Here is a 23,833-nt window from a genome sequence, read left to right as displayed (position 1 = left end):
ATTAAGTGACAAAATTTTTGACACGTGATAATCTCAGTGACTCAAGAAATGTTACCTATGATATATAATTATTTATAGCTTAGCATACATATATAAAAGTGCACCAAACCTAACTGTGCAGCTCAATTCATTTTCAAAAATTAAAGCTTCAGTGTAGGTTGCACTAAGATCAACAAACAGGATATTATTACATGTTTCTTCCAGAAACCATACCCTACCACCCCCAGAAATAGTCATTAACCTGACTTCTATCATCATCGGTGAGTTTTGCTTATTTTTAAACTTTCTGCATAGGTTCTTTCAGATTTTTTACAGATACTATCATGTTGTCTGCCAAAAATTATGTTGTCTTTCTTTCCCACTGTCTTTTATTCTCCCTCCCTGATTGCACTGGCTTGGACTTCCAGTGTAATGTTGACTTGAAATGGGAAGAGCAGCCATCTTTGTCTCATTCCCTATTTTGGAGGGGACAATTTTTTTACATTTCATCATTTTGTACAATCTTTGATTTATTTTTAAAAGCTACTATCAGATTAAGAAAATCCCTGTCTATTCAACTTAGGCTAGAGGTTTTTGTTTTGTTTCTAGTAAAGAATGTTGAATTTTATCACAAGTTGTCTATGCATTTAGGGATATTAATTTCTTCTCTTTTTGTGGCTAATGCATCAAATTACATTTTTCTCAAATGTTAACCAATATTCTTTGTATTCACAGAATAAACCTCATTTAATTGTATTCTCTTATCCTTTTTATATATCCCTAGATTGATATAATATTTTGTTGAGGATTTTACATGTTGTTGATGAGAAAGATTTATTAAAATTTTATTTCTTATAATATCATTGTGAGATTTTGTATCAAAGTTATGCTAATCTTATAAAATGAGGTAAGAAATTTTTCTTCTACTTTTTTTATTTTACACTTTCTTCCTTAAATATTTGGAAGAACTCACTGCTAAAACCATCTAAACATAGGGTTTCTTGCGTTGGATTGGTAATTGGTGGTTTTCAAGAAATGTCTACTTTTCATCTAAATTGTCAGATTTATTTTTTGTTCTTTATTATTTCCTTCCTTTTGCTTTCTGGGGATTAATTTACTCTTCTTTTGTCAATTTCTCAAGATGGATGCTTAATTCATTGATTCTCAGCCTTTGTTGTTTCCTAATATATGCATTTTAAAGTCACAAATATGCTGCTAAGCACTCTATCAGATGTATCATGCAAGATTTGATATACTGGACCTTTATTATTATTTCATTGAAAAGATTTTCTAATTTTTGGTGAGTTCTTGACACATAGTTTTATTTAATATGTACTGCTTAATTTCCAAGAAGCTAGGAATATTCCAGTTATTTTTATTAGACTATTTTTAATTAATTATATTATGTTTCAAAAACATAATTTGAGTGATTTAAATCCTATACAATTTGTTTAAGTTTATTTGAAGACTTATCATAGACTCATCTTATGGTAAATGTCCTGTGTGGACTCACAAAGAGTATTTATTGTCATTATTGGTGCAGTGTTCAATAAATGTCATTAGGGTAAATTGCTTAAGAGTGTTGTTCAGGGGGGTGGAGCCAAGGTGGCCTAATAGGAAGAGCTCCAGTCTACAGCTCCCAGCATGAGCAACGCAGAAGTTGGGTGATTTCTGCATTTCCAACTGAGGTACCGGGGTCATCTCACTGGGGAGTGTCGGAAAGTGGGTGCAGGACAGTGGGTGCAGCACACCAAGCGTGAGTCAAAGCAGGGCGAGGCATCGCCTCACCCGGGAAATGCAAGGGGTCAGGGAATTCCCTTTCCTAGTCAAAGAAAGGGGTGACAGATGGCACCTGGAAAATCGGGTCACTCCCACCCTAATACTGCGCTTTTCCAACGGTCTTAGCAAATGGCACACCAGGAGATTATATCCCGTGCCTGGTTTGAAGGGTCCTACGCCCACGGAGCCTCGCTCATTGCTAGCACAGCAGTCTGAGATCAAACTGCAAGGCAGCAGCAAGGCTGGGGGAGGGGCACCCGCCATTGCCGAGGCTTGAGAAGGTAAACAAAGCGGCTGGGAAGTTCAAACTTGGTGGAGCCCACCGCAGCTCAAGGAGGCCTGCCTGCCTCTGTAGACTCCACCTCTGGGGGCAGGGCATAGCCAAACAAAAGGCAGCAGAATCCTCTGCAGACTTAAATGTCCCTGTCTGACAGCTTTGAAGAAAGTAGTGGTTCTCCCAGCACGCAGCTGGAGATCTGAGAATGGACAGAATGCCCCCTTAAGTGGGTCCCTGACCCCCAAGTAGCCTAACTGAGAGGCACCCCCCAGTAGAGGCAGACTGACACCTCACACGGCCGGGTACTCCTCTGAGACAAAACTTCCAGAGGAACGATCAGGCAGCAACATTTGTGGTTCACCAATATCCACTGTTCTTCAGACTCCGCTGCTTATACCCAGGCAAACAGGGTCTGGAGTGGACCTCCAGCAAATTCCAACAGACCTGCAGCTGATGGTCCTGCCTGATAGAAGGAAAACTAACAAACAGAAAGTACATCCACACCAAAACCCCATCTGTACATCACCATCATCAAAGACAAAAGATAGATAAAGCCACAAAGACGGGGAAAAAACAGAGCAGAAAAACTGGAAACTCTAAAAATCAGAGCGCCTCTCCTCCTCCAAAGGAACGCAGCTCCTCACCAGCAATGGAACAAAGCTGGATGGAGAATGACTTTGATGAGCTGAGAGAAGAAGACTTCAGACGATCAAACTACTCCGAGCTAAAGGAGGAAGTTCAAACCCATGGCAAAGAAGTTAAAAACCTTGAAAAAAAATTAGATGAATGGCTAACTAGAATAACCAATGCAGAGAAGTCCTTAAAAGACCTGATGGAGCTGAAAACCATGGCATGAGAGCTACGTGATGAATGCACAAGCCGCAGTAGCTGATTTGATCAACTGGAAGAAAGGATATCAGTGATGGAAGATCAAATGAATGAAGTGAAGTGAGAAGAGAAGTTCAGAGAAAAAAGAATAAAAAGAAATGAACAAAGCCTCCAAGAAATATGGGACTATATGAAAAGACCAAATCTACATCTGATTGGTGTACCAAAAAGTAACGGGGAGAATGGAACCAAGTTGGAAAACACTCTGCAGGATATTATCCAGGAGAACTTCCCCAATCTAGCAAGGCAGGCCAACATTCAAATTCAGGGAATACAGAGAATGCCACAAAGATACTCCTCGAGAATAGCAACTCCAAGACACATAATTGTCAGATTCTTCAAAGTTGAAATGATGGAAAAAATGTTAAGGGCAGCCAGAGAGAAAGGTTGGGTTACCCACAAAGGGAAGCCCATCAGACTAACAGCTGATCTCTCAGCAGAAACTCTACAAGCCAGAAGAGAGTGGGGATCAATATTCAACATTCTTAAAGAAAAGAATTTTCAACCCAGAATTTCATATCCAGCCAAACTAAGCTTCATAAGTGAAGGAGAAATAAAATCCTTTACAGACAAGCAAATGCTGAGAGATTTTTGTCATCACCAGGCCTGCCCTAAAAGAGCTCCTGAAGGGAGCACTAAACATGGAAAGGAACAACCAGTACCAGCCACTGCAAAAACATGCCAAATTGTAAAGACCATCGAGGCTAGGAAGAAACTATACCAACTAATGAGCAAAATAAACAGCTAACATCATAATGACAGGATCAAATTCCCACATAACAATATTAACCTTAAATGTAAATGGGCTAAATCCTCCAATTAAAAGACAGAGACTGGCAAATTGGATAAAGAGTCAAGACCCATCAGTGTGCTGTATTCAGGAAACACTTCTCATGTGCAGAGACACACATAGGCTCAAAATAAAGGGATGGAGGAAGATCTACCAAGCAAAAGGAAAACAAAAAAAGGCAGGGGTTGCTATCCTAGTCTCTGATAAAGCAGACTTTAAACCAACAAAGATCAAAAGAGACAAAGAAGGCCATTACATAATGGTAAAGGGATCAAGTCAAGAAGAAGAGCTAACTATCCTAAATATATATGCACCCAATACATGATCACCCAGATTCATAAAGCAAGTCCTTAGTGACCTACAAAGAGACATAGACTTCCACAGAATAATAATTGGAGACTTTAACACCCCACTGTCAACATTAGACAGATCAACAAGACAGAAAGTTAACAAGCATATCCAGGAATTCAACTCAGCTCTGCACCAAGTGGACCTAATAGACATCTACAGAACTCTCCACCCCAAATCAACAGAATGTACATTCTTTTCAGCACCACACCACACCTATTCCAAAATGGACCACATAGTTGGAAGTAAGGCACTCTCAGCAAATGTAAAAGAACAGAAATTATAACAAACTGTCTCTCAGACCACAGTGCAATCAAACTAGAACTCAGGATTAAGAAACTCACTCAAAACCGCTCAACTACATGGAAACTGAACAACCTGCTCCTGAATGACTACTGGGTATATAACAAAATGAAGGCAGAAATTAAGATGTTCTTTGAAACCAATGAGAACAAAGACACAACATACCAGAATCTCTGGGACACATTCAAAGCAGTGTGTAGAGGGAAATTTGTAGCACTAAATGCCCACAAGAGAAAACAGGAAAGATCTAAAATTGACACCCTAACATCACAATGAAAAGAACTAGAGAAGCAAGAGCAAACACATTCAAAAGCTAGCAGAAGGCAAGAAATAACTAAGATCAGAGCAGAACTGAAGGAAATAGAGACATAAAAAACCCTTCAAAAAATCAAAGAATCCAGGAGCTGGTTTTTTGAAAGATCAACAAAATTGATAGACCGCTAGCAAGACTAATAAAGAAGAAAAGAGAGAAGAATCACGTAGATGCAATAAAAAATGATAAAGGGGATATCACCACTGATCCCACAGAAATACAAACTACCATCAGAGAATACTATAAACACCTCTACGCAAATAAACTAGAAAATCTAGAAGAAATGGATGAATTCCTCGACACATACCCCCTCCCAAGACTAAACTAGGAAGAAGTTGAATCTCTGAATAGACCAATAACAGGCTCTGAAATTGAGGCAATAATTAATAGCTTACTAACCAAGAAAAGTCCAGGACCAGATATATTCACAGCTGAATTCTACCAGACATACAAGGAGGAGCTGGTACCATTCCTTCTGAAACTATTCCAATCAATAGAAAAAGAGGGAATCCTCCCTAACTCATTTTATGAGGCCAGCATCATCCTGATACCAAAGCCTGGCAGAGACACAACAAAAAAAGAGAATTTTAGACCAATATCCCTGATGAACCTCAATGCAAAAATCCTCAATAAAATACTGGCAAAGCGAATCCAGCAGCACATCAAAAAGCTTATCCACCAAGATCAAGTGGGCTTCATCCCTGGGATGCAAGCCTGGTTCAACATATGCAAATCAATAAACATAATCCAGCATATAAACAGAAGCAATGACAAAAACCATATGATTATCTCAATAGATGCAGAAAAGGCCTTTGACAAAATTCATCAACCCTTCATGCTAAAAACTCTCAATAAATTATTTATTGATGGGATGTATCTCAAAATAATAAGAGCTATCTATGACAAACCCACAGCCAATATCATACTGAATGGGCAAAAACTGGAAGCATTCCCTTTGAAAACTGGCACAAGACAGGGATGCCCTCTCTCACCACTCCTATTCAACATAGTGTTGGAAGTTCTGGCCAGGGCAATCAGGCAGGAGAAGGAAATAAAGGGTATTCAATTAGGAAAAGAGGAAGTCAAATTGTCCCTGTTTGCAGATGACATGATTGTACATCTAGAAAAATCCCATCATCTCAGCCCAAAATCTCCTTAAGCTGATAGGCAACTTCAGCAAACTCTCAGGATACAAAATCAATGTGCAAAAATCACAAGCATTCTTATACACCAATAACAGACAAACAGAGAGCCAAATCATGAGTGAACTCACATTCACAATTGTTTCAAAGAGAATAAAATACCTAGGAATCCAACTTACAAGGGATGTGAAGGACCTCTTCAAGGAGAACTACAAACCACTGCTCAATGAAATAAAAGAGGATACAAACAAATGGAAGAACATTTCATGCTCATGGGCAGGAAGAATCAATATCATGAAAATGGCCATACTGCCCAAGGTAATTTATAGATTCAATGCCATCCCCATCAAGCTACCAATGACTTTCTTCACAGAATTGGAAAAAACTACTTTAAAGTTCATATGGAACCAAAAAAGAGCCCGCATTGCCAAGTCAATCCTAAGCGAAAAGAACAAAGCTGGAGGCATCACGCTACCTGACTTCAAACTAAACTACAGGGCTACAGTAACCAAAACAGCATGGTACTGGTACTAAAACAGAGATATAGACCAATGGGAAAGAACAGAGCCCTCAGAAATAATGCCGCATATCTACAACCATCTGATCTTTGACAAACCTGACAAAAACAAGAAATGGGGAAAAGATTCCCTATTTGATAAATGGTGCTAGGAAAACTGGCTAGCCATATGTAGAAAGCTGATACTGGATCCCTTCCTTACACATTATACAAAAATTAATTCAAGATGGATTAAAGACTTACATGTTAGACCTAAAACCATAAAACCCCTACAAGAAAACTTAGGCAATACCATTCAGGACATAGGCATGGGCAAGGACTTCATGTCTAAAACACCAAAAGCAATGGCAACAAAAGCCAAAATTGACAAATGGGATCTAATTAAACTAAAGAGCTTCTGCACAGCAAAAGAAACTACCATCAGAGTGATCAGGCAACCTACAGAATGGGAGAAAAATTTTGCAATCTACTTATCTGACAAAGGGCTAATATCCAGAATATACAATGAACTCCAACAAATTTACAAGAAAAAAACAAACAACCCCATCAACAAGTGGGCGAAGGACATGAACAGACACTTCTCAAAAGAAGACATTTATGCAGGCAAAAGACACATGAAAAAATGCTCGTCATCACTAGCCATCAGAGAAATGCAAATCAAAACCACAATGAGATACCATCTCACACCAGTTAGAATGGCAATCATTAAAAAGTCAGGAAACAACAGGTGCTGGAGAGGATGTGGAGAAATAGGAACACTTTGACACTGTTGGTGGGACTGTAAACTAGTTCAACCATTGTGGAAGTCAGTGTGGCAATTCCTCAGGGATCTAGAACTAGAAATACAATTTGACCCAGCAATCCCATTACTGGGTATATACCCAAAGGATTATAAATCATGCTGCTATAAAGACACATGGACACGTATGTTTATTGTGGCACTATTCACAATAGCAAAGACTTGGAACCAAGCCAAATGTCCAACAAGGATAGACTGGATTAAGAAAATGTGGCACATATACACCAAATAATACTATGAAGCCATAAAAAAGAATGAGTTCATGTCCTTTGTAGGGACATGGATGAAGCTAGAAACCATCATTCTCAGCAAACTATTGCAAGGACAAAAAACCAAACACTGCATGTTCTCACTCATAGGTGGGAATTGAACAATGAGAACACATGGACACAGGAAGGGGAACATCACACACTGGGGCCTGTTGTGGGGTGGGGAGGGGGAGGGATAGCATTAGGAGATATACCTAATGTTAAATGATGAGTTAATGGGTGCAGCACACCAACATGGCACATGTATGTATATGTAACTAACCTGCACGTTGTGCACATGTACCCTAAAACTTAAAGTATAATAAAAAAAAAAAAAGAGTGTTGTTCAGCTCTTCTGTGATGTTGCTGATTTTAGTTGTTCTGAGTGAGAACTCTGGTATACTGCCAGTGGTTCCACCACTTTTGAATAAAAGTCACTAATCTATAATTTCTCTTATTAATTCTGCTACTTAATTGTGATAAAAATTAAAATCTTCAGAAGCAAGTTGATGCTTAAAGTAATTAATGTTACTTAATAGCAGTTAATGCTACTTAAAATTCATATTTAGAATACGGCTTTATTTGAAAAGCCATCTGAATTCATTAATTTAACTTTTCTAGAAGATCCTGTCGTAAGTCATGACATTTTCTTCTTGGATACCTCAATGTTGCTGAGAATGAAATGCTAAATTTTATTTTATAGCTCAATGAGTCAATAGGTAATACTAATAATGCCTAATTGTTGTGAAGTTGGCAAAGTTAACCAGACCAGTTTATGTCGTAAAAATTAGGGCTTCATTAACACTAGGTAATTAGGCATCCAGTTTTCCCAAGTGGAAACCTCAGAGGATCTTGCAATGGTAAATGAGTGAACTATGGGTCCAGGATTTCCAAATGGTAATGGTTTCATGTCAATAAGCTAGATATTTCAAACCAAACTATTAAAGCTTTTGTTCAAGTCAATCAGGAAGCTATATTAATATGTCTCATAGGTAAATATTCTAACTTAGATGGTTATGGTTCAACTTCAAATACAAATAGTGGCATCCTAAATGTGGTGTTTATGAATGAACTAATAAACCAAGTTTTCAGTATCAAAGCCTTACCTATGAGGCCAAGGAATTGCTTTGCTGTTAAGTTTGGTCTAAGTCATAGTATCTATGAAAAAGTATAAAAAATATAAAGGAAAAATATAAAGGAATAGCACAGTTGGGTTAGTGTTCTACTGCATTTACTTGGGATAACCCTAGTTTGGGAATTAAAATGTGTCAACTGTGTATTCTAAGACTGTCCACTGAAAGAATATAAGGCATGCCAAAATGTTACAATATTCCTTTGCCAATCTTTCTTTTTTTTTTTTTTGATAATTTCCTGTCTTTGAGAGTCAAGAGCTAGAATGGAACAAAGTTAATTTTTATCAGAGCATTCTAAACAATCCGCAATAAATATTCATCATACCCAAAACCAGTGGTCCAAGAGTCTTCAAAAAATACATGATTCCTATTTTTCTCTAATCCAAAAAACAGTAATACTGGAGCCAAACTGACGTATTTTCATGTTCATAAAATGATGAAATGAAAAGTTTTATTTTCACTTTAACTCTTCTAAGACTAGAAGTGATGCTCCTTAGGAAAAATAGGTGTTAGGCACTGCAGTTATAGTGAGGTGTGTGGGAAAGGAACGTTATTTACGTATTCTTGTGACACAGCTTTCAGTGTGCAGAAACTTTCTGTTAAGACTGTCAGAGCCAATATTGATTACAAAGGATTTAGACTATTGTAGAAGTCATTTTCAGAGATATTCTTATTTTTTTCTGCATTGTGTTATTGAATGGGTTGTTTTTACTTTCTCTCCTATCCTATCTTACACTGAAAAACAGTTTCCATCCATTTTCCCCTAAAGCGTGGTGTGCTTTGATATTCAGAGCCAAACGGTAAGATTCCTATCAAAGAAAGAAGCTTAACATTCAAAGGCACCAGAACACAGTGGACACATTCCTGATCTTAAAATAATTATTTAAAATGCACGTTATAGAATTGGCCACACTCTATATTTCGAATTCTGTTATTCTGGAAATGCAATGACCATATTCCTCCTACATGTATTAGGAAAAGAATGGATTAAATAGAACGCACTTTAGAGTTCTTTATGATGTGGTTAACATTTGTGTTTTAAGCGTTTACCCACTTTGCTTTTTTTCTCATGTAAGAGAAAACTCTTAAGAAGAAAACAGGCCAGTCTTTTAAAATCAGGGAAAAAAACCAATATAATTTATTTTATTTCCAAAATAAATTTTATATTAGGTTGCAAATCAAGACTAGACAGTGACATCTTCACTGGTGTGTAGAATTCTTATCAAAAATATTCATCTTCTTCTAGATGTACTCTAAATTGTGGCAGATGACAATAGTCATTGGAATTGGAGAAACAGATTTATTTTCAGATTGAAATCTCTCATCTACTAGCATTAATTTTGGCCAAGCTAGTTTTAGCTACAGAATCTGTGTGCCTTATTTTTTCTGAATGCTTTATTTGATATTTAAAATACATGGGGATAGCTGTCATGATAAGAAAATAAGATTTAATTGATATTCTTTTGAAATAATCTTTAAAAAAGTTCTAAGTAAAAAATTGCTATATTATTTTTTATGACATGTTGAATTATTATCTGGATAGCTTTTCTAAGACAATACAGTCAATATTACATGTTTGATATTTAAAAATTATTTTAAACTTACTTTAAATTAATTACACAACTAGAAATAAAAAATGAAATCATAGAAATATGTATTTTAAAAATTGTGGTAAAATATATACAATATGAAACTTGCCATTCAAAACATTTTTAAGTGTACAATTCAGTTGCATTTGCACAATCATCACTACTATCCATTTCCAGAACTTCTTCATCATACCAAACAGAAACTCTGAACTCCTTAAACAATCACTCCCTGATATAGTTTGGCTGTGTCCCCACCTAAATCTCATCTTGAATTGTAGCTCCCATAATTCCCACATGTTGTGGGAGGGACCTTGTGGGCAGTAATTCAATTATGGGGGCTGGTCTTTCCTGTGCTGTTCTTCTGAGAGTGAATAAGTCTCATGAGATCTGATGGTTTTATAAAGGGCAGTTTCCCTGCACATGTTCTCTTGCTTGCCTCCATGTAAGACATTACTTTGCTCCTCTTTCACCTTCTGCCATGATTGTGAGGCCTCCCCAGCCATGTGGAACTGTGAGTCAATTAAACCTCTTTCCTTTATAAATTACCAAGCCTTAGGTATGTCTTTATTAGCAACATGAGAACAGACTAATATACTCCACATTATTTCTTCCCAGCCCCTGATAACCTCTATTCTGCTTTCTATCTCTATGAATTTGCCTATTCTAGATATCTCATTGTTATATATGTGTCTCTCCAAAATTTTCACGTTGAAATCTTAACCTGTAATGTGATGGTATAAGGAGGAGGGGTTTGGGGGAGGTAATTAAGCTGTGAAAGTGGAGCCCTCATGAATGACGTTAGTGACTGTGATTGTTAATATTGTCAACTTGATCGGATTGAAGGATGCAAATTATTGTTCCTGTGTGTGACTGTGAGGGTGTTGCCAAAGGAGATTAACATTTGAGTCAGTGGACTTGGAAAGGCAGACCCAACATAAATTTGGGTAGGTACAATCTAATCAGCTGCCAGGGTAGCCAGATTAAAAGCAGACAGAAGAACGTGAAAAGACTAGACTGGCTTCACCTCTGAACCTACATCTTTCTCCTGTGCTGGATGTTTTCTGCCCTCAAACATTGGACACCAAATTCTTCAGCTTTGGGCCTTGGACTGGCTTCCTTGCACCTCAGCTTGGCTTGCCTATTTTGGGACCTCACCTTGTGATCATGTGAGTTAATACTCCTTAATAAACTCCCCTTTATAGATACATCTATCCTATTAATTCTGTCTCTCTAGAGAACCCTGACTAATACAGTGCTCTTATAAGAAGTGAGATGAGGATATGAAAGCTTTTTTCTCCATCCTTCCATTCTGTCTCTCTCTCTCTCTCTCTCTCTCTCTCTCTTTCTCTCTCTCAGCCCCATGAGAATACAGTGAGAAAGCAGCTGCCTACAAGCCAAGAAGTGGCCCTTCTCAGATGCAGGATCTGCAAGCTCCTTGATCTTGGATTTCGTAGACACCAGATCTGTGAGAAAAAAATATTTGTTGTTTAAGCCACCCAGTCTATATAGTATTCTTATAGCAGCCCAAACTGACTATTACACTCTTACAAGGGAAATCATACAATACTTGCCATTGTGTTTGTGGCTTATTTCACTTAGCTTAGTATCTCCAGGGTTCATTTATATTATAGCACCTATCAGAATTTCATTCCTTTTTAAAGCTGAATAATAATTCATTGTATGTATGTGTTGTATTTATTTATCCATTTGTCTGTTGATAGACATGTGGGTTGCTTCCACCTTTTGGCTATTATCAAGAATGCTGCTATGAACATTGGTGAACACTGGTGTTCAAGAACCTATCTGAATTCTTGCTTTCAATTATCTTGGTTATATACCTAGAAATAGAATTGCTTGGTTATATGACAACTCTGCTTAACTTTTCGAAGAGGCACTAAACTGTTTTCTGCAGCAGCTGCACCATTTTATATTCCTCCTAGCAATTCACAAGGGCTCCAATGTCTTCACATTCCACCAACATTGGTTATTTTCTGCCTTTTTTTTTTAAATAGCTATTCTAATGGATGTAAAGTGACATTTCATTGTGGACTTGAGTTGCATTTCTTGAATGACTAGTATTGGTGAACACTTTTTCTTGTGCTTCTGATCATTTGTATATCTTCTTTGGAGAAATGTCGATGCAAGTTCTTTGCTCATACCCGTGCCAAGGATTGCAGGCACAGTGGCTCAATGCCTGTAATCTCAGCACTTTGGGAGTCTGAGGCTGAAGAATCTCTTGAGGCCAGGAGTTTGAGACGAGCCTGGACAACACAGTGAGACCTTGTCTCTAAAAAATGTACAAAAAAAAAAATTAGCTGGGTGTGGTGTCACATACTTACAGTCCTAGCTACTCAGAAGGCTGGGAGGGGGAGGATTGCTTAAACCTAGGAGTTTGAGGCTGCAATGATCTATAATCATGCCACTGCACTCCAGCCTGAGTGACAGAGCCAGTCAACCATCTTAAAAAAAAAGAGAGTTATTTGCCCATTTTTGAATTGGGTTTGTTTTGTTGTTGTTGATGATGACGTGTAGAATATTTATATATTCTGAAATTTAATCCCATATATATAATATGTGTAATATATATTATATATATATAACTTGCAAATATTTTCTCGCATTCTGAGTTGTCTTTTCACTCTCCTGATAGTTTTCTTGGATGCACAAGTTTTTAATTTTCATGTTCACTTTATCTCCTTTTTTTATTGCCTGTGCTTTTGGTGCCATATGTAAGCAATCATTACCCAATCCAATGTCATGAAGATTTTCCGCATCTGTTCTTCTATGAGTTCTATAGTTTTTATCTCTTTAGATTAGATCTTTGGTCCATTTTGAGTTAACTTTTGTATGTGGTGTAAGGTAAGGATCCAGCTTTATTCGTTGCATGTGGATATCTAGTTTCCAAACTAACTAGCACTGTTAGTAGAAAAGTGCCCATCTCCCAGTTGAATGGTCTTAGCACCATTGTCAAAAAAAAATGGACCATATATATATGAGTGTTTAGTTTTTGGGTTTCTATTCTGTTTCACGGGTTGATATGTTTTTCTTTACATCAGTATCACATTGTTTTGATTACTGTGACTTTTTAGTAAGTTTTACTAAGTAAGAAATCAGAAAGTATGAATCCTCCAACTTTGTTCTCCTTTTCCAGGATTGTTTGGTTATTTGAGTTGTTTGAGATTCGATGTGAATTTTTGGATGAGTTTTTCTATTTCTGCAAAAAGCTGTTGGATTTTGAGTATTGCGTTGTACCTGTAGATTGCTTTGGGTTTTGTATTGTCATCTTAACAACAACTTTAAGTGTTTCAGTCATGAACATGAGACATCGTTCCACTTATTTATGTCTTCTTTAATTTATTTCAGTAATGTTTTATAGTTTTCCATGTATAAGTCTTTTGCCTCTGTAGTTAAATTATTTCTAATTATTTTATTTTTTTGGTGTTATTATAAACGGAATTGTTTCCTTAATTTTATTTTCACATTGGCCATTTTTAGTGTATAAAAATGCAATTTATTTTTGAATGTAGATTTTGTATCCTGATACTCTGCCAACTTTGTTTATTAGCTCTAACAGTTTGTGTGTGTGTGTGTGTGTGTGTGTGTGTGTGTGTGTGTGTATGTGAATCATCTTTAGGGTTTTCTACCTATAATATGATGTCATCTGTGAACAGAGGTAATTTGACTTCTTTCAATTTGGATATATTTTATTACTTATTTCCTGAATGTTCTGGCTAGTACTTACAACACTCTGTTGAACAGAATTGGTGGTGAAAGTCAATATCTTGGTCTCGTTCCTAATCTTAGAGGAAAAGCTTTTAGTTTTTCACCATTGTGTGTGTTGTTAGGTGTGGGTTTTTCATATATGCAATGTTTTTAATATTGTACACTCTCCATTGAATTTATAGAACTAATTAACTTGTATAATTTATTAATAAAATGAATTTGATAATGCATATCCCCATATGTCAGTTAAAGAATAGCTTTAGATGTTCATAACAGAAACCCCCCAAAAGAATGGCTTAAGAAAGATTTCAGTTTATTTTTCTGTTATGTGATAAGTCCAGATTTAAGAAGCTGAAGTCTGATATAAGAAGCTGAAGTCAGAAACATTTGGGGTCCAGGCATCTGATACTTTCTACTCAGAAAGGTGGAGTGATCTTCACTATGCTTATAAAATGTTGGTAGCAAGATTGTTTGAGCCAAAGAGCAAAAGCCTGTTATCTGCTGAGTTCCTTCTCTCTATACAAGAAACTTCCCTGGAAACTCCAATACTTTCCACTAGGTTTATCTTATTGGCTACAGTCTAATTGCACGTTCAACCTATGTACAATGTATGCTAGGCAATGTAGTTTTTAAGATGGGCACATTACTCAAATTGAGGAAAAAGGATAAAATGGCTATTTATGAAAGTAACAATCTATTCTACATCATTGTACTTCATCATAGAAACATAAAGTTGGGAAAAAGCAATGTCCTAAATACATGTGTGCAAATAATTGGCATAAACTACATATTTTAATAAATATTTATGTAACAAAATGAATGACTGAATTTTTCTATATAAAGTTCTTGTAGTGGAAATGTCAGAAAGAGGTTTTTAGTGGTATTTTCCATTTCACCTTAAAAAGGATGGTAAAAAATAGGAGGATTTTGTCCTTCACGTGTAAATATTGTGTTTGCCTGATTCAAACGCATTAGCAAAAATTAATAAACTGCTGACATCCCTCTATGATCTTAATATTTTATTCAATGTTAAATAACCAAATTTAATAGTAAAAAATAATTTAGGGGATGCAGATTTATGAATTGAACATCTTAACATTATTGTATAAAGCATGTGCTATATATATTCACTGAAGACACAAATATCTCAGAGTTCTCTGTCTTGTATGATCCATTGCTAACTTACCTCAATTTCTCACTTCCTCTTACAATTTCATTACTGTATTCTAAGCCAAGAAGATTCTTAGAAGCCAGTGCCTGTAAGAGCCAGTGATATTTTTTACTTCAAGAATTAAAACATGATCTATTTACTCTTGCTTTCTACATGCATTCATTAAGGAGTGCAAATTACACAATTAGATGCATTTTGTTGCTCAAATGAAAATTTCATATGCCAAAATGTGAACTCAGGAGAGCCAATTGGTAAAACCCAATCTCATATTCTGCACTGAATACTGATCTGTATTTTTGCTTGAAGCTTTTCTACTTGAAGGTTTAAAGTATCACTCTTCATCCTAAGTATTGTTTTCTTAGAATGCTTTTGATTTCTAAGAGTGGTGAGAATGATGGATTGAGATTAGATAGTTAGATTCATTGAGTGTTGAATGTTATTTACCACTGTTTTTCTTCTACATCAGTAGATAAAAATCAATCAAAATGAGTTTTACTGTAGAACATGGCAAGTATCGCTACTTTAAATAAACTTCTCAGTACAAATCAGAAAGTCTCTTTATGAATACATCAATGATTTTAAAATGCAATAAATTAACAGGGTAGAAAATCTTTTTATCTTTCATCATAATTATTTCTTAAGTGCCATTCAACAGCCCCAAATACTTTATATTACATAAGCTAACATTTATCAAATATGCACTTGGGCTAGGCACTCTTCTACAATTTATTCATTTTACCACATTTACTCTTTAAAAAAACTCATAAGATATGTAATTTTATCCCAATTTTATAAATACATTTTCTAAGCCACAGAATCACAGAGCAGTAGAGCCAGGATTGGAATACAGATTAGCTTCATTTAGAGCTTATAATCTTAACCATTAGGCTATGTGGCTCCCAATGAATATTCATTGGAATGTTCATTAACGGAATATACACGTACATAATATCTACATATGTAGAGATGTGTGTGTGTGTGTGTGTGTGTGTGTGTGTGTGTGTAAACATACCTAATTTAGGAACACTTTTTTTCTAATGTGCATCTATTATGTACTTCCATATGCATGTCTATATGCTCTTCCAGTACACCTGTTCTTCCAATATGCATCTATTAAGAAGCATAATTAGCAAAGAAAGATTTTAAATTATAGTGTATTGCCATTTAGGTCACTTGAGATGGGATATAAATTGTGTCATTCAAAAAAGACAAGTCAGTACAAAATGAATTATTATTTTGACACCCAAATGATATGATTAAGATTATTTTAACACAAATTGAATCTAAAAATGTTTGCCTTCATTCTTTAGTAATATGGGAATCATTGTCCCAAATAAATGTAAGCATAAGATTTAGTAAAGGATAATCCATAAAATTCTAGGTTTATGTATATCTGGCAAAAGAACATAGTTTAGAAAGTAAAAGTTATTCCAAGGTACTGTATTAAAAATAAAATTGCTTGCATTTTGTCATAATACTCTTTACTAAAAAGTTAAGTCTATTTTAAGTGGCTCCATTTTGTACCCAAATCCATCTGATATACTTACTAATCTACTGGCTGTCAGTTTTTCCTCTAAAGTGGTACCATGGTTTTGGGTCCCCAATCCTGCTGTGCAGGATGAAAATGATAAAATTTTACAGGTAACATTAATGCTTTCATAAATTAGAAATTCTCTAACACAGCTTTTTTAAAGACCAAAACAATGAAATGCTTAACGGTCTCAAAGAATTAACATAATAAATAGATGATAACATTTTCACATATAAATCATGCCTTATCTCTTCTTGTATCCAAAGTCTGTAATGTTTCTTACTATTAATTAGATCATATTTTGACTAGAGTAAAGGGAGTATTGCATAAGGCAGTAGAAATCTAAAATTTCAGACAAATTGCTACTAATGTACTATAATATTATGTTAATGGATACTCAAACTCACCAAGAGACAGACCTGGCAGTATGAGTTACTCCTTCTGGTTTCTGAGCTCTCCCATCCTAATAGCTGGGAAATTTAGGAGAAATCACCTCATAGCTCTGTCTACAAAATGAGGATAGCAATAGTTACCATTCGATAGAACATCAATTAATTAAGGCATAATGTGTTTAGACAGTGCTTATTTTAAAAAATGTGTTTTGATTGTTATTTATAATGTTTTTTTCGAGTAGTGCAATCTCAAAAACTTGCATTTTTCTTTGCTTGTCTGGATTTTGTTTACTTTTGTCCAAAGAAACTCTGTAATATAAATGTGGTTGTTTCAATGAGTCCTGATGCATTGTGAAGATAAAACATCAGGGGGCTTTTAAAATAATACTTATTGTCTATTTGATAAAAGTCCTTGATTATTCACTCCTTCACTCATGCACTCATTCATTTATTCACTGAATATTCTTTGAGTGCCAGTCATTGAGGACAAGAGGTTTAACAAGACCAGCATGATCTCTACCCTCCTGGAGTTTAATAGCCATAATGGAGACAAATATTAGTGATCACACTTGCTACAAACTGGGATACATGCTAAAAAAGGACAAAGGAATAGTGATAGATTTAAACAAAGAAACTCAGCTGAGGTTGAGGGGGGCAATATTCTGAAAAAGTGACATCTAAGATGAGACCTAAAGGATGAGTGAGAATTTGCCCTATGAAATTGTTTCTGGAGGAGGGAAGAGCATGCCCAGGTGTTCTGATGAAGGAAATGAACATAAGCCAGTTTGGAGGGAGGGTAGTGGGCAGGAGAGACGGGGGTGGGTTTGACTAGAGTATAGACAAGGCCATGTCTTATAAGCCTCAAAGGCTGATTTAGAAGATTGAGATTTTTCTCCTATTCACATTAAGAAGCTGTTGAAGGGTTTTAAACCGGGAAGAGGTTGGATAGAGCTTGCATTTCGCAAAGAAGACTAGCTGTTGTGTGCAGAATGGATTGCAGGAGCCAGAGTGGAAGCCAATAGGAGGCCATGACAGCTGCTTGATAAAAGATGACAAAGTCTAGAATGCTTTGCACAAAGCAGTGAGGATGGAGAAGGGGACAGAGAAGGGGATAGAGTTTGGGGGCACAACTGATAGAATTTTTCAGTAGAATACATGGATGACAGACTTTTGTATAGTGCGCTGTAAGTATCTGTATCTCAAATATTCTGTATATTTTTCCCTTTGTCTTTGAACTGTGGTCATATATTCTTGCCTTTCTAGTCCACCAATAATAAGTCTTAAAATCTTTGCTTCATCCCAAGGGATTTTAAAAATGTTACCTTTCCCATGAAACTGGCTCTCAATTGGAATGAACGCTCAGCCCAGCATGCTTTGCTTTTTGCTGCATCTTGGTGTTAGCAAGATGTTAGAGTGCAGCAGCGTTGCCTGCATTGGTGCCTTATTCCTGCTCCTACCCTATTTTATAAGCATCTCAGATGTCACAGCAACATCTTGGTCACACTACAGTGCAGATTCTATTACTTAGTATTCAACAAATATTTCCTGACATTGATTTTTGTTTAAAGGTAAGAATAAGAACTTATGTGACAAAAACCAAGACATTCAATTTTTGGGGATATTAGGAATTTTTAAAATAGCAGCATTAAAACAATCAGTGCATAGTACAGAGATTACTATATATTTGATTGGTTTTCTTCTGGCTCACTTAAAAAATTCTATGGTGTATGAATGCAAATACATATATCTAATATGTAGCTGCAAAAACTAAAAAGTAAAAATTTAAAAAAATCTATCAGTCACAGGCACTGTTTTAAAATCTCTTATAGTATAAACACTTCTGGTTTTAATAGTTAATGATGCCAATCTTCCAACACTGTTGTTTAATTCTTTCATCTATGTTAGCTGTGTGACCACCAATGAGATTGTATTTTTTTTTAAGAGCCGAAAACATATTTTACTTTTTATCTTCCCAGATGTCTGTCCAAATTCCTAATGGCGTTGACCCTCTCTCCCCGGGTCTCACTGTATTCTCACAGCTCATGGCATTCCTTTTGGACTCACCTTGCTGCCGTCTTTGGAGCCCCACACCCTAATTTTGAGAATGTACATTCTCCAACCTATTTCTTCAAATCTAGTTTTATTTCTCTCCATCCATACGCTTTGAATCAATGATTGTCTGCTCAGTTGTTGCCTATTTGCTAATTTCTCTTGGAAACATTCAATGTAGTAGAGCTTGGATTTGAACTTTCCTGTGTCCAATTTGCATTAAATTATTGCACAATCCAAAGAGTACATGGTTAGCATTGTTTCTAAAATGTGTTTGCCTACATATATGAATAAAAAAACCACATCTATGCTCTTTCATGTAATGTCTAGCCTTACTATATTACTATCTTAAGTCTATAGTATTACTGTTGTAAATCTATAGTATTATTGTCATATAACTTTATGGGAAAGTTTTTTTTTCCAGCAAATTTAACTCCACATACACTTAGAGAGGACCTATGTGACTTGAAAATGAGTTAGGGACATACATTACCTTGTTACAACAACTTAGCTTGTGCCCAAAGAGACCCTATAATACAGTGGCTCAAACAAGCTAGAATTATTTTTCTCCCTGGTAACAGAAGAAGGCAGATTGCCCATCATGGAGAGACAATTTTGTTTCATGAGGTCATCCAAGCATCCTGTTACTTTCCTTCTTGTTACTCTACAATTCTCTGGGTTAGAAGCTCACAATTTTTTTTCTGTAAAGCACCTCAGTAAATAATTTAGATTTTGAGGACCATGTAATCTCTGATGTCTCTGATGCAACTCCTCAACTAGCCATGTCTACTGCAGTGTAGATTTGTCCTTGAACAGCTCATAATTTGCCATGGGATAGGGTCAAATAAACAAATATCTGCCATCTAATATGATGCATGTGCCAATATGTCTAAACATGCACATGCACACACGCCTCTATGAGGTACAGATGTAGAACAAGACTGGTTATAGAGTATAAAAGAAAACCAGAGAAGGATGTTCACATCTGAAGAAGTCTTTACAGTCTAAATGGGCATTCATCAAGCAGAAAGCACGTAGAGGAAAGGAATTTCTTGCAGAGACACATAGAGGAAAGAAATTTCTTGCAGCTAGAGCCACAGAATTGTGTTAGGATGGGCAAAGTTATACTGTACTAACAAATGACCACGAAAGTTCAGTGGCTTAAAACTAATACGTATTTTTTGATAATGATGAAGATTGGTCTCAGCTTTGCAGGGGCTCAAACTTCTTGAAGCTAGCAGCATTTCCACCATCTAGAGCATCATCAGTCACTGTGGCAGGAAAAGGCACCATGTTTACACCGATGCTGGCTCTTACTTTTCCCCCACAATCACATGCATCACTTTTGCTCATATTTTCTTAGTCAAAACAAGTCCCATGAACACGTCTTAATTCAAGAAGATGGGAAAGTGTAATTTTACCATGTATCTTAAGGAGCCAGCAGGGGATATTTGTAAGCCCTAATGTCAACCACAGTTATTGAGGACTCAGAGACAAGAATGCAGGAGTAGCCAGAAGCCAGGTGACTGGAGCTTGTAGAAGAGGAAAAATAGGTGTATTGTGCTCTACCTATAAGAAACTATCAAATGTGCTTAAAGAGGAGCCATCCAAATGAAGGATCACCATGATGATACTGAAGAGAATAGATTAGAACAGGAAAAAGTATTGTTCTTCCCAGAGTGAAAATGTATATTATGGGTAAAAATTTGGAATGTGAGGATGAGGTCAAGGAAAGAGTCAAGAATGGTACACAAATCTATTCATGTGATAAAGTGACATAGACGTATACACACACACACACACACACACACGCAGGTAAAAACTGATGAAATCTGAATAAGATCTTTATATTGTCCCAATGTCCATTTTCTGGTTTTGATATTATGTAAAATGGGACTTCAGGAAACTGAGGAAAGAGTACATGAGGCCTCCCTGTACGGTTATTTCCTTTTCTGTGAGCCTATAATTATTTAAAAATAAAATAAAATGATCTCAATATTTTAGAGGGTTTTTAAAAACTGGAACGAATAATTAGCATTTGCATAGTGCTGGGTAATTTGTCATCACTTTCCCAGACATCATCTTACCCGCATAACAACTCTCAGATATTTGACAGATGTAGTAATTGTTGGAATTATTGCCTTTATAAAAAAAAGTCTTCTGTTGTCCTATTAAACCCCATATAAGAACAAAAGTAATGGAAGTATAATGTAAGAGGAGCTTTTAAAATCTATCCCCCTTTGACATAATTTCAGACAGAATATTGTTCCTAGATGACTCACACTCCTGGCATCTAAAATGAAGCATGATGAAGCCATATATTTTTTAGGTAATGTACATCACAACACTGTCACATGATGAACGTGAAAATGAAATGTTTCCTAGTTGACCACAGCAACAGTAATCTAACGTCCGAATAAAGAAGACCTAATGCCCTTTCCTCTTTTCTTTTCTCAAAACATATAGTGGAAAATGTGTTTGGTCTTGAAAATCTTTAGAATATTTATTACATGGCAAATTATTACCAGCTATTGCCAATGACAAATTTGAACCAATACTCATTCTCTGAGGCCAGGCGCAATGGCTTATGCCGGTAATACCAATACTTTGGGAGGCTGAGGTGCGTAGATCCCTTGAGATCAGGAGTTCAAGACAAGACTAGGTAAGATAGGGTGACCCTGTCTCTACCAAAAAAAAAAAAAAGAAGAAGAAGAAAGAAGAAACTAAAAAATTATTCAGGCATGGTGGCATGCCTGTGGTCCCAGCTACTGGGGAGATTGAGGTGGGAGGATGGCTTGAACCCTGGAAGTCAAACCTGCAGTGAGCTATGGTCATGCCACTGCACTCCAGCATGTGCCACAGAACAAAACCCTATCTCAAAGAAATATTGATTCTTTCTTTATGTGAAGATTTAAGTTTTGGTCCACCATGGGGTTTTTTGTATTAATTTTGATATTTTTAAAAAAGATTACATTAAAACATTATTTATCTTGATTGCTGATAATTTGGTTCTTCCCTTAAGCTTTCTGCCCAAAGCAAATGCCTCATCTGTCTCTCTCTGAGTAGAAAAATAGATGACTCTTTATGAGAGTGAGGGAAGTTGTTTACCTGCAGATAAGCACCAAATATCATTTTGCTGCTAGCCTCACCCTGGGCATCATTCCTGACTCTACAGCTTAATATCAAAATGGTTTTCCATGTTATCAGAGAAAATAAATCAGCTAATCTGTGGTTAAAAACAGATCTTCTCTACAAATGATGCAATGATTTTCCCTCAGGAACTTTATAAGCAGGTTATTTGACATGACATACAGCTTTCTTTATGAAATATTCTGTCTGCAAACACTGAAACACAAATTTTCATTGTTTTCAAAATCATCTGGTTTTGGCCTTACTTTGCAGGACTATGGATTTGTTTTGGTTTACTTATTTGTTTTCTTTCTTTTTAAGCTGTGGAACACCCGCCAAATCTGAGGATATATGCATCTAAGCCAATTGTTAGCTTTTAGATTTATCACAGTTTCCAACAGCAAGCTAAAGTTAATGAGTTAATAAATAAAAATTCATCAACATATACATATCATGCCCTTGACAAGAAGGTATCATTTTTCTTGTAAGTTAATGTTCAGAAGTTTTATTGTATACATGGCCGAATTTTGTATAAAAAGGGAGATATTATCAAACTCAAGTACTCTTCCATTTTTCTCAATTTTCTCATTTTTAAAATGAAGGGAGAAATTAATATGAAAATCTTATTAATTTATTTTTACAAAGACCTCATGGAAAGTTCTTGGGCAAAACTCTTAAAATCCATATCAGATTGTTGTCCTGTGATAAATTCCGTGTGCTTACGTCACTCTTGGATGAAAGAGCATATTTTTGATATTCCATTGTTTAATGTAATTATTCTTCATCACACTTATACCTAAGAATGTGAATTCCAGCCAGTTTCTTACATCATTGTTGGTCTTGGGTTTTGAGTGATTTTTCATTTTATCACATATAAAGGGTAATTAACTTGCTATTTTTCTGAGCTTAGATGAAAATAATTTAAGGGAAAACTATGGGTTAGTATTCCAAAGAATCTAAGCTCATTAAAGAAGTGACCAGGGTCTGAGAAATAAATATACATATATATATAAGAAATATAAATATATATGAAATATATAAATATATATATAAAATATATATGTTATATATAATTTATATATAACATATATATATAACTTAATACCAAGATGACATCAAGAGGAATTTGAAAGGTTCTATTTGCTTCACATTTTATTAAACTCTATATTCATTTCTTGAATATCTTTATTTACAAAGTTATGTCTAAATAAAAGAGAGACTCAAAATTGGATAAAGAATGAAAACTTAAAAACAATTCTAAGAAATGCTCTTAGAATCAGAACAATTAACCTGGAGAAGAGTAAACAGAAATCTAACTTCAAACAGGGGGACAGGAGCATTTATAAACAGCATCCTTTACTGGGAAATACTCAAATGGAAGTAATTCTTAGGTGCATTATGAGGGACTAAATTGGATAAAACAATAAACTTTCTTCTTGAAAGGAATAGATGAGTTATATATTTTCTTATTTTTTTCTAGAAGAATTTTTAAAGTTATAGAATCACTTGCCTAAAATAGCTTAAATTTGGTTCTATACAAAGACCAATCAGTAGATACATTGAAGTCATCTTTAGAACGTTGAGTTTCTGAAAGTAAAAAATTCATCTCCCAAGCTCTTTAACCTGATGTATAGCTACAGCAAACTCTAAAAAAAGAAAACCCTAGATATCATTTTCTTTAATAGGGTGCAGTGATAAAAATCAGGACATAATATGTCCCAAATAATGACTTT

Source organism: Homo sapiens, chromosome 3 (assembly GCF_000001405.40).
Source record: "Homo sapiens chromosome 3, GRCh38.p14 Primary Assembly".
NCBI lineage: Eukaryota > Metazoa > Chordata > Mammalia > Primates > Hominidae > Homo > Homo sapiens.
Note: the sequence above shows the minus strand (reverse complement) of the source record.